Here is a 12,282-nt window from a genome sequence, read left to right as displayed (position 1 = left end):
ACACACACATATATGTAGAGATGGGTACATATATACATTCAGGTACATGCATGATTTTTTTCTTCTGTAAAGAATCTCGAGAAATGGTTAACAGTGGTTAACTTTCAGTAAATGGATCAGATGGGGTGGAGAAATAGCTTAACAGAGTGGAGTGGCATTTGGGAGAAAAACCGGGGCCTAGTTTAGGTTTCTTATACTCCACAGTATTAAAAAACTTAATAAATATTCCATAACTATTTTAATGGGTTTCTAAGTTAGTGTTTTCAATAGCAACTGGGTATGTGGCCAAAGAGGGAAGAAAAAGAGAGTTCTTAGCAGAGCAATCCATAATACTTTCAGCCAGCTAAGGTAAGGGGGAAGTATTCCAGTCTACATAGAAGAAATTGATCTCTCCAAAAAAATGTTTACTGTGTGTGTTAGGAAGGAGAAGGAAGTGGAAAAAAGAAGAGTAATAATTGCTTCATCTGGGTTTTCAATTGAATTTGATTTTTTTCTACTTATTTTACTTCAGAAAAGAGATTTTGATAAGAGGAACTAGTCCATGCCTGAGAGTATGAAGAACCAAAATGTCCTAGCTATCCATAAAGTCGGAAGGATCACTCTTATCCCTGCCCCATCCCTCTGGCCAATGGAAAGGCTAGAAAAGAGGTGCTTGGAGGAAATGTTGACAAACCTACTTAGCAATAGGCCCTGAAGTGTGAGGAATATAAACCAGCTGCAGAGAACTGGCCTTCAGGAGCTGCTGGTGGCTCCATTGCCACGGAACAGCATGACTCCTTTGTTTTCTTGGGCCTGGGAAAGGAAAAATGTCTTTTACTCTTGTGTACAGTCTTGAACTGCAGCTTCATTAATCCATTTCATGGTCAGGGCTATTGTGGCATATTTCATTATTTATCCAGACAGTATGAAGAGGTAAGGCAAAACTGAGACTCAAAAGAGTCCACCGCGCTGAAAGTATCACCTATCATACACCTTTTGTTGTGACACATGTAGAGGCTTTCTATTGGCCAAAACCTATCCTCAAGCCTGTATACAAATCCTATAAAATAAGCATGACTTTAACATTTTTTTTCCTACCTGATGGTAATCCCATAAAGCACTGAATCTCCCCCTCTTCTCACTCACCATCCAAGCATTCAGTGCTGGGGCAGAAGAGGGCAGGTTGGCAAAATGAGAAGACTTATTGGATAATTTCTAAATGCTGAAGCTTCTTCAGGGAAGCAAACTTCCTGCCCAGGGCAGGTTACTTCAGCTAGTTACAGCACAGGGCTAATGAGGCCAAGGTCATGAGCTTGTTTACCCTGAGGGCCAATTAACTTTGATCTACTTTATGGCCACATCCTGTATCCCTCAATCCAAACAGCTGTTTCAAAAATGGATGCCCTTGACGACAAGGAGGACTGCTCCAAAGTAAAATAGATGTAACAGTTCAAATTTATCATGCTCCTGAAAAATGACGCAAAGCATATTAGAAACATTATGAACCCACATTTCCACCAAAATAATTATTTGCAAAAAATCAAGTCACCCAGCACATTAAGAATGTTGCACCCATTCACAGGTATTCTCCCAGGGAGGAAACTGGAATCAAGGTGAGTTTTATCAAATTCTATATCCTTTATATCTCACTAAGTATTTTATATAAAACTAAACTGAATCAACATTTTAGACACTATTTGATCTGAGCATTCTTCATGCTAATTAGATACTGATTTTCTCTTTTATGAATTGATAGTTATTTCAATTGACCCATTTCCTCCTTCACAAATACATTCTTCACCCACACACTATGCATAAAATACCTTCTGTTTTCAATTGGCTTGCAGAACTCAACACTGATGCTTTCCTATCATTCAAAAAAAAAAAGATACAAATTTACAAACTATCTTTCCTCAAACTTCTACACAAGTCCTTGTTTTTTAAAGTTTCCAACACAATCCACAAACCCAGACCTAGAGCAAACTTTGGGGCTATCTCACACACTCACCTTGACCCAGAATTAACTGTGGGGGCTACCTCACACACTGTCCTAGAATTAGCATCGAGAGTCATCTTACACACTCATCGTGAAACCTGAGCACGTCTTGATCTCAAGATAATAAAAAGAAATTTTGGCCAGGCACGGTGGCTCATGCCTGTAATCCCAGCAACTTTGGGAGGCTGAGGTGGGTAGATCACTTGAGGTCAGGAGTTCAAGACCAGCCTGGCCAACATGGTGAAACTTCATCTTTACTAAATATACAAAAATTAGCTGGGCGAGGTGGCACATGCCTGAAATCCCAGCTACTAAGGAGGCTGAGGCAGGAGAATTTCTTGAACCCAGGAGGCAGAGGTTGCAGTGAGCCAAGATCCAGCCTGGGTGACATTGCATTCCAGCCTGGACGACAAAGCAAGACTATAAGAAAGAAAGAAGAGGAAGGAAGGTGGGAGGGAGGGAAGGAAGGAAGGAAGGAAGGAAGGAAGGAAGGAAGGAAGGAAGGAAGGAAGGAAGGAAGGAAGGAAGGGAAAATTTTGAAATTTTGCAATGCTCCAAATAAGAATCACCACTTCTAATGAACAGCTACACAGCTTCCTTACTGATAGCAGTCTGTCCTCCAGGGGAGGAGGAAGTTTCCCCTTCTTTCTTCCTCCCAGCCACCTAATAGGTGTCCATGAAAGACTGAGAGAAAAGTCTAAGCGGAGCACCAGTTGTACCAGTGCCAGGTGTACAATTCTGCCAGGGGGTTGGCACAGGACCATCTCTTACAGAAACTGCTCCACCTATCACGGCCCATTTGTCTTCAAAGGAGCACTGAATCCAGGCCTCAGGAAAGATGCAGACAATTCCCTAAAGGATGAGCCCTCTTTTGTAATGATCTGGGAAAATATGTCAATCTGCTCAGAGAGACTTATGCTGACCATGTATATTTTGATCCAAAACCTGAGACATGTAGCTGAACCATAGATGACATACATCAAATCAGACTGAGGACAGAGAATTTGGAATATAGAATCCAGACCCTTTTTCCCATCCTAGATTTTCCATTCTCCCCAACTTCTTTAAAGAACCCTCCCAGTTCTCCATGGGCTATCAAGCCTCCCCACAGTTTCTCTGTTTACCCCCATAAAGGACAGAAACATATCATATAAAATAAGGTGTCCCAAATCCCTGAAACCATAAAGGATTATATATAAACATCATTTTATTTAGTAAAACTTTACATAGTATACAGTTTTCCCCATACTACTTGTTTATGAGGTCACTAGGAAAACCCCTACTCTTTTATGTCTTCCCTCTCCTGTTTATGTTTGATATCCTCCCTTCTCCCCCGCTAGATTTTTCCTTCTTTCCTATCCTATAGTACAGAGCCCCTTTTCTTCTTTACTGTATAATTCTAAACACAAGCGCTGCCAATAACCCTAAGCTATGCTGCATCATGCTGATTTGCACCAGCTGTGCCTTATGGCGGTTAACCCATGCTTATAACAGGGTCTCCTTAGATCTTCCTGTGAGAACAAAATCCACATACACATCTAAAAGTCACAACCAGTGAGGTGGAAAGTGAGCCAAAAATAAATAGATCCTGCTTTGAACTACTGATCACATTAAATAAGAAAAAAATACAGAGCTGGAGGAAAGAAAAATGCTACCCCGAGCTGCAGCTTAAAAATTTTCTTGGACACATGAAACAAACTGTAAAGATAATCTATCCCTTCAAACATCCCACTTCCAAATGAGATGTTAATTTTCTCAGTATCAATAGGGTTGGGGAGAAAGGAAGATCAGGGTAGGGAGTGAAGGAAAGGAAGACTATCATCATGCAGAATTCAAATGACAATAAAAAGTACATAAAACTCAAACGACAATAAAAAGTATACTCTAAAATTAAAAGCTAATGGCCAGGAACTTTGTCATGTAATTAGAGTTTGCAAAGCTTAGAGTCTTTGAAAATCTTAGATAATTGTAAAAACCAAGTCCATAGAGCAACAGTTGGGAATTAGAGTATAATGTTATTCTGCAACTTTGGGCAAATCACAATCTCAGATCATCAGTTTTCCTATGAGCTCCCTCCCTGAGGAGTCACAGGCAAGGTCACCAAATGGTTTGTGTATTCTGAATTATCTGGACCGCTTATTTTCCATTATGAAACCTTGTGTAATCGTCCTATGTTTGAACACGATGAGACATTGCAAATGACTGTCATTAGAATGTAATCCTCCTTCATCCCTGCCCCAGAGCAACTGTGTTCTAGATTCTCCAAACCAAACTCAAGTTGTCCTAGCTCCATAGGATAATGGACACATGCCATTGGTTTTGTTAAAAGAAAAATCTTCCAGATTGTAAAATTATTTATTAGTTTTACAAACTCTGGCTAACCTCAAGATCCGGGACACAAACATAATCCATCTGATGCAAGAAAATGTCAGCAGTATACGAAAATTAAGATAAAGTTAACTTTGTATTACAAAGCTTATGTACTTACAAGTTAGCTTCCCAAAGGCTATCTTCAAGTCTGTTTCTCTGAAAGTCCAAAAAGAAATTAAACAAACCACTGCTAATATCTTCTGCTGATGGTAGGCAGAACTGATACACTTTGGCTCAGGACAGCTTCGATCCATCTATAAAAGTCCTTAGGTTGAAAATGTGTAGGAGACAAAACCTCTATGCTCATTTTATTCACTTGAAATACAGTAAGTTTCTGTCCATTAAAAATAGCAGCACCATGATTCTGGGCTCCCCAGAAACCACAGCATTCCATCAGACTTCAAGCACTGAATTATTGCTTCCTAAGCACCACAACATTAGTACAAAAAATGGAGACCTCGCTAACAGTGACAGATGGGGGTCATGTTTTTGTGGATGAACTCTCCCCAGGAGGTACAAAGCTTCATGGCCTTTCATGATCAGACCCCTGCCCTCTTCGCAAGCCTTGTCTGTCCCCCACCTTCTATCTTGAACCCTATGCTCCATCCATATTGAACTATTCTTCATTCTCCATTCCCTGTAGTCTCTAGTATGTGCTTTTTCTTGTCCATGGGACACTCCCCGCCTCCATCCCTCACTCCTGTTCATTCTCTGCCTGCCAGTTTATACATCACTTACTCCTACACATCATTAATTCCTCTTAGCTTTTCCGAATCTCCTAAATCCAGGTAAAATGTGCCGCATAATGTGCTGTTACAACCTTGTATTTCCTTTCAATTGCTCTGATCACATGTTTTAAAAAAAAAATCTGGCCGGGCGCGGTGGCTCACGCCTGTAATCCCAGCACTTTGGGAGGCCGAGGCGGGCGGATCACGAGGTCAGGAGATCGAGACCATCCTGGCTAACACGGTGAAACCCCGTCTCTACTAAAAATACAAAAAATTAGCCGGGCGTGGTAGCGGGCGCCTGTAGTCCCAGCTACTCGGGAGGCTGAGGCAGGAGAATGGCGTGAACCCGGGAGGCGGAGCTTGCAGTGAGCCGAGATCGCGCCACTGCACTCCAGCCTGGGCGACAGAGCGAGACTCCGTCTCAAAAAAAAAAAAAAAAAAAAAAAAATCTGTATTCCCCACTGAACTGTAAGCTCCACATCAGTCTTGTTTATAGTAGTTACTCAACAAATGTAACTCAACTGAATGACTCAATTCCCTATTCTATATTTATAAAGGTAGGAATCAATTTATTTTTGATGTTTTATTTAATAATATCTGTCATTTTATTTAATGCTTTGTTTTTTATGTGTTTAATTTTTAGAACTGTTAAAGACATAGAAAAGCACAAATATATATAATCATGGTACTATTACTACCACCTGGAATTAACATATGTTAACAATTTTCCATATTACTTCCAGTCTATTCAAGACTATTTTCAAAGAGCCAAATCTCAAGTGGTTTTGACAATCCTGAGTTAACTAAAGTGAAGAAAAACGGAAATAATATCAAGTCCTTGCTATATGCCAATCATTGTGCTAAATGGTTCATATAAATTGTATATTCAATCTTCCCATAAGGATATTATTATACACATTTTATAGATGAAAAGACTGAGACTTAGAGAATTAACTCTTGCCCAAGGTAATATAGCCAGTAAATGTCAGACCCATGTTCAAACTAAATTGTTTACATCCAAAATCCATGGGCTTTTCTCTTCATTGCCTATATCCTCAAATTCTGCCTATATTTGGAAGTAACTTGAACTACTTGAGCCAGAGAATGTGCTTTCACATAAGTTACTCATCCATTCATTTAACAAACATCAATTAAGTGCTTCCTATGGGCTGTGTGCTACTATCTCATAAGTGTGCAGAAAATTAAATCAGTGCACTGCATTCACAAGCATTCTGGTTAATTTAGCTGAAAAAATAAGAAGTTAAGTGGTGATATACACCATAGAAGTTTCTCTACTGTACAAGAAACATGTAACCATTAAGGCATATAGAAGAAATAGCATTAGAAGATGGAATATGTTACCGAAACACCAGGGGTTCAGTCTAGATTCTGTTGCTCACAGCACAGAAAGTCAATCACTGAGACAGTGAGTATTGCCAAGGAAGAAGGCTTTAATCGGGTGCTGCAGCTGAGGAGATGGGAAATCAGTCTTAAATCCATCTACCTGAGGGACTAAAATTAGGGGTTTATATAGCAAGGAAAAAATGTAATAATGTATGAGAAAACAAAGTCAGGAGGGGTAAGGAAGCAATCATAATGAATGAAGGGCCTGACGTCTCATTGTCTGGATGCTGTGATCTGGTGAGTTTCAGTTATTTGATACCTTCTGAGAAGACTGGAGGTCCTCTCCTGAGGAACTCAGAAATAACAAATGTAGGCCAGGCGTGGTGGCTCACATCTGTAATCCCAGTACTTTGGGAGCCTGAGGCGGGCGGATTACGAGGTCAGGAGTTTGAGACCAGCCTGGCCAATTTGGTGACACCCCGTCTCTACTAAAGATACAAAAATTAGCCGGGCATGGTGGCATGCGCCTGTACTCCCAGCTACTCGGGAGGCTGAAGCAGAAGAATCACTTAAACCCAGGAGGCAGAGGTTGTGTGAACCGAGATCATGCCAGTGCACTCCAGCCTGGGAAACACAGCAAGACTCCATCTCAAAAAAAAAAAAAAAAAAAAGGAAAAAAGAAATAACAAATGTAAGTTTCAAGCTTTAAGACCAGAAGGGTTAATTTCTATGTTTATCCATAAGAACTGTCTATGGGACTATTGGATCGCTTTCAGTTAAAGATGGCAAATGACAAGTTTCTCCCAGTCCCACAGTCATTGTGATTGTGGTGTGACAAGATTTTATAACGAGACTAGATGTTTAAAAATCATCTGTCCCTTATCATTTCTGCAGTGCCCTTTTTGCTTTCATAACAAAACAAACAAAAAATTAGGAAACATTTATTTATATGTCTTCTCAGTTCTCAGTTCACATTCTTATGTCTGCTTAGTGGCCAGCACCTGCTTGGTTCTGTAGTTCAGGTCTGGGACAGTGAAGCCTCTGCACTTTCTTCCCTGTGGTCCCTGCATCCCTTCAGAAAATGGAAGACACCATGTTCCCTGTCCAAAAGGATTACTTGTCCTCATATGCATACTTTGTATCAAGGGGCTTGCTACACTTCTTCCGGTAAGTTCTGTGCATATGGCAATCACTCACTTTTGTTGTGACAATACTGTCAGCAGTTTGAACTTCTCTTAGTAAATTATAATTTGTCTGCACTCCCATGTGAAATCCTGGCTTTTTTTTTTTCTTTCCCAAGTCTCTACCACCCTCAATTATTCCTTAAAAATAACTTCCCCTCCCACCTTGATACAGTATGATTCTTCCATCACAATGTTTCAAGTCTCTTTGTTTGCCATTTTTTTATTCCTTGATCAACATTTTTACTTTGAAGAAATTCAGATTTGTTCTTGCATTGTATCCATACTACTTAAGATGAATGTTTTGAGGCAACAATGAGTTAGTTTGGAAGCGTGACCTGACCACAAGGGTAAATCAGAGTGGGAAGACTCCTGCATGCTAAGGACTCTTTTCATCAGGCTATTTGCTTTTGTTGTCATTATTTTTACTACACACATATGTTGCTGATTCTCAGAAATCCAGTAAAATTATAATGGTTCCTATTGTTGGCAAGTACAAGTCACAGAATAAAACGTGCCATTCTGAGCCTTGGGTCTGCTCTTCTATTACATCAGAGAAAACACCACTAATTCCCAGAAATCCTGTCACTCACATGCTCATCTCAGGGCGAAACACAAACAGGCAAAGATGGTTATATGTCCATTCCTTTATTTGTTCATTAATTAATCCATTCATTCAACAAACATCTCAACATTGCAGTGGTATAAATTGAACAGGATAGGTGCAGTTCCTTGTGTTAGAAGCTCATAGTCTACTAGAAAAGAATATAAAACAAATAACTGCCATATAATGTGATAAGTGTACATAAAGGAAATGCAGAAAGAAAGGAAAAAATAAAGGAGAGAAAGAAGGAAAGAAGGGAGGGAGGAAGGAAAAAAATGATAAGGGCACATAATGTGGTCTGCAGAGAGATCAGGGAAAATTTCCAGAGTCTGAAGGATGAGTAAGAGCTAGGTGTTGTGAGAGAACAATATAATGTACAAAGGCATTGGGATTATAGATATCAGAGTGAAATTTTTTTTTTTTTTTTTTTTTTTTTTTTTTTTTTGAGACGGAGTCTTGCTCTGTCGCCCAGGCCGGACTGCGGACTGCAGTGGCACAATCTCGGCTCACTGCAAGCTCCGCTTCCCGGGTTCACGCCATTCTCCTGCCTCAGCCTCCCCAGTAGCTGGGACTACAGGCGCCCGCCACCGCGCCCGGCTAATTTTTTGTATTTTTAGTAGAGACGGGGTTTCACCTTGTTAGCCAGGATGGTCTCGATCTCCTGACCTCATGATCCACCCGCCTCGGCCTCCCAAAGTGCTGGGATTACAGGCGTGAGCCACCGCGCCCGGCCCAGAGTGAAATTTTTTTTAAAGAATGTTAACTGTTTCCTACACAGGAGCCTGCCAACCCCAAAATCTCCCCCTTTCTGAAATTTTCTTCATCAGCAAACTTTCCTGTAGACCAAGGTTTCCCATCAAGTAAAGCAGGTAACTTTCTCAGATGCCAGGACATGGGAGTAGAGTTTCCAGTGAAGGTTTTTCAATTTCTACTACTGTAGGAAGAACTACTAACTTTCCCAGACACCCTACATTTGTTAGCTAAGGAAAAATTTAAAAAATGTCATTTCTTTCTCATTTCTGCCCGCTTAAAGTGAAATAGGAAAGGTTCCCTTGTCCCCCTCCCAGGACGTGACGGAGGTGTGGCTCGCTTCTTCAGTGTCCTGCTGCTCAAACCTCTAGGGGAGCATACAGACTTGGGCACCCCACAGCAGAGTTTACAGTTCCTGAAGCCCCAGTGGGCGTGTGTTACAAGGTGCTCTCTTAGTTTGCCATCTATAGGCGGCTTGTGTTAACCAGCTCAATCAGACCCTCCACCTTGTCACAAGAACAGACGGCTTTCTGTATCCCAGGTTCCTGCCTTGGAAGAATCGTGGGCTTGGAGAATAAGTGCAAAGTTTTATTGAGTGGAAGCAGCTGTCCACCGATGGGGGAGCCAGAAGGGAGATGGTTTATCCCTGGAGTTGGGCCGCTGGGCAGCGGGCGCTCTCCTCCGACTGCCCTGGCCAAACTCCGCCTAAACCTGCTGGTCAATAGCCTGCTTGAGTGCCTGTGTCTGTCAAAATGCTCTTCCGCCGGCGTGTTCCCCTCCGTGTCCTCTCACCGTCCAGCCACTTGTGTCTTCCTCCGCCTATCTGCTCTGCTCCACGTCCAGCCACTTCTGTCTCTGCCTTGCTAGGGTCTCGGGTTTTTATAGGCCCAGGATGGGGGCATGGCAGGCCAGGGTGGTGTTGGGAAACGCAACATTTAGGAGTGAAGGCACAAGTGCCTGTCCTCACCTAGGTCCGTGGGGGTGGAGCCCTAGCCAGGGACCATGTCCTCCGCTATCCAACACTTCCCTTCCCGCTTCCATATCATTTAAAGGAACCACGCTCTTCCCTTCCCAGCACTCACGTATCAAAAGGAAGGATGAGTTTAAAGAACAGAAGATGCTTCTATTCCCTTTCATGGGAAACATTTCAGCGTTTAAGTTCTTACCCCATCCCCTACCTGTTTATTGCCTGATGTCAAGCTTCTCTTGACATACGGAGTTTTCAAAGGAATAAAAAGGAGACTCCCAAGTTTTCAAAGGAATAAAAAGGAGACAGTGAACATATTTTGGGAAACAATAGGCTAAAACAACTGCTTTGCAAACTTTTTCTTAGAGACCTAAGGCCCCAAGAATGAATAATTTCCAGGCCCTGAAAAAACTGGTCATTTTTTTTCTTGTTTTTTTTTTTTCTTTGTTTACTAAATTCCACTGGAGTTTCCTTAGCTCTCTACACTAAAATGTAAAGAAATGTTCATGTCTGGTATAGTGAAAGCAGGACTCATTCTAGGCCTCGGAGCCAAACAGAGAGGGCTAAATTGGCTGCAAATGTCCAGTAGATTTTTACAGGACCAAGCACTCTAGAAATAAGTCCTATCTCATTTTATCCTCTTGGAGAAGTTTTGCCTTTTCCCATTCAAATAACCATCAGCTGAGCAGCCAGGATAAGGTAAGGTTTATAACCCAGCCTTCCACTTGGGTTCAGGAACACTTCCTCTGAGAAGCACAATGCTTACTGCAGTATGGTACCACCTCATCCACAGGGGAGGGAGGGAGTAGAGATGAGTGGTTCTAACACTGAAACCAGCCCAATTGTCTCATAGAACTGATCTTTATGGTTTCTTTTGACTAAGCATAGAATTGAAGCTTCCAGGCTTAAAATTTGAAAAAGTTTGTCTGATCTGGGTTCCTTTCTCAGGAAACCAACCATAAGACCTCCCAGAAAGTATCAAGGAACTGAAACTTACCAGATCAACACATCTGGACAATGAGATGCCACACCCCTCACCCGTCATGATCGCCTGACTTCCTATTTCCTGTTGCCCAACTACTCCTTTTCCCTCCCTAATTCCTGTTTTCCCACATATGGTTACATTTCTTCCTTGCCACATAAACCCCTAATTTTAGTTGAGGAGACGGATTTGAGACTGGTCTCCTCTCCCCTCAAGCGAAGCACCCAATTAAAGCCTTCTTCCCTGGCAATATTTCAGTAATTGGCTTTCTGTGTGGTGAGCAGCATGACCTAGACTGAACCCCTGGTGTTTTGGTAACAGATTTTGGTTCCCTTATTGGGAATGCATGGGCCAGGAGTTTCAGAAGCCCTCCTAGGCAGCTGCCTAACCCCTTTTTTGGCCAGAGATGGGTTTCAGTCTCTCTCTCTCTGTCTCTCTGGTACTATCACTGCTGGCTCCAACTTCATTCCTGATCACCTAGGAAGAACAGCCTTTGAAATTTGTCATCTGCATCTGGACAGATGATGTCTTTCGTGGGTAACAGACAGCAGGATCTGCTCCTCTCAATTAGGGGAATTCTGAAGGAGTTTCCTTTTGCAGGTTAAACAAGCCCAACCAATTGAGAGAGAAAAGCACCTGGACTGTTTCAGTCTGGACATGCTTGGGGCTTGTTGCTGCAGCAGTTGGATGGTGTTTTGATGATTGTCTACATATGTGTGTTAATAAAGTCATGGGAAATCAGAATTTTATAAACTGATCTTTTGTAATACTATTTTGCCCCAATATTCTTTGCAATCTAGAGAAGTGTGGCCTTTCCATGGGCCTCATTTTGATGTTTAAAGAAAAAGTGGGATGGAATTTCATGTATCCAGACTTTTATGCTGCTGTTCTAAGCTGGGTCGGGCCTGGTTAATACATGATGTTTTATGGTGCTGTTTGACCTCAGTGTTCTTTGGAGTATGAGGAGGTTTGGCCTTTAAAAATCAAACTGCCATGGAAACGACCTTACCCAAAATTTTGGGTCTCAGCCTTCATTAGATTACCTATCAGGGTAAACAAAGTGTAGCCACGTGAACGTGTTTGTAAACTGGTGAGTTTGTATTACTATCTCATGGCTACAGAGTTCCAAAGTAAAAGCTATTGGAGCTTTATGTTTGTGTATCATGTTTACATGTTTATGTATTGTGTAACATTTATTATGTTATATGTTGTGTCTACCAAATTGGCTTATAAATAAAAGAAAGCTCATAATTAAATCTATCCAAGCATGTTTCAAGTTCATGTGACTTATGTAAATCTTTAATAAGCAATCTAGCTTTAAAATTATTGGTAAGATAAAAGTAGATGTGACTTTGGAATTGTCAGCATACATTTTTGTCTG

At 41.4% G+C, this 12,282-nt stretch overlaps 1 protein-coding gene across 10 annotated transcripts in view; it reads right to left on the bottom strand.

The window, feature by feature from the left end:
• The window catches only part of RGL1 (ral guanine nucleotide dissociation stimulator like 1), a 292,424-nt gene that overhangs the window by 146,870 nt on the left and 133,272 nt on the right, over positions 1-12,282 (bottom strand). The window lies entirely within an intron of this gene.

This window comes from Homo sapiens, chromosome 1 (assembly GCF_000001405.40).
Source record: "Homo sapiens chromosome 1, GRCh38.p14 Primary Assembly".
Lineage (NCBI taxonomy): Eukaryota > Metazoa > Chordata > Mammalia > Primates > Hominidae > Homo > Homo sapiens.
The sequence above is the reverse complement of the archived record's forward strand: the minus strand, read 5'-3'. Positions and strand labels throughout refer to the sequence as shown.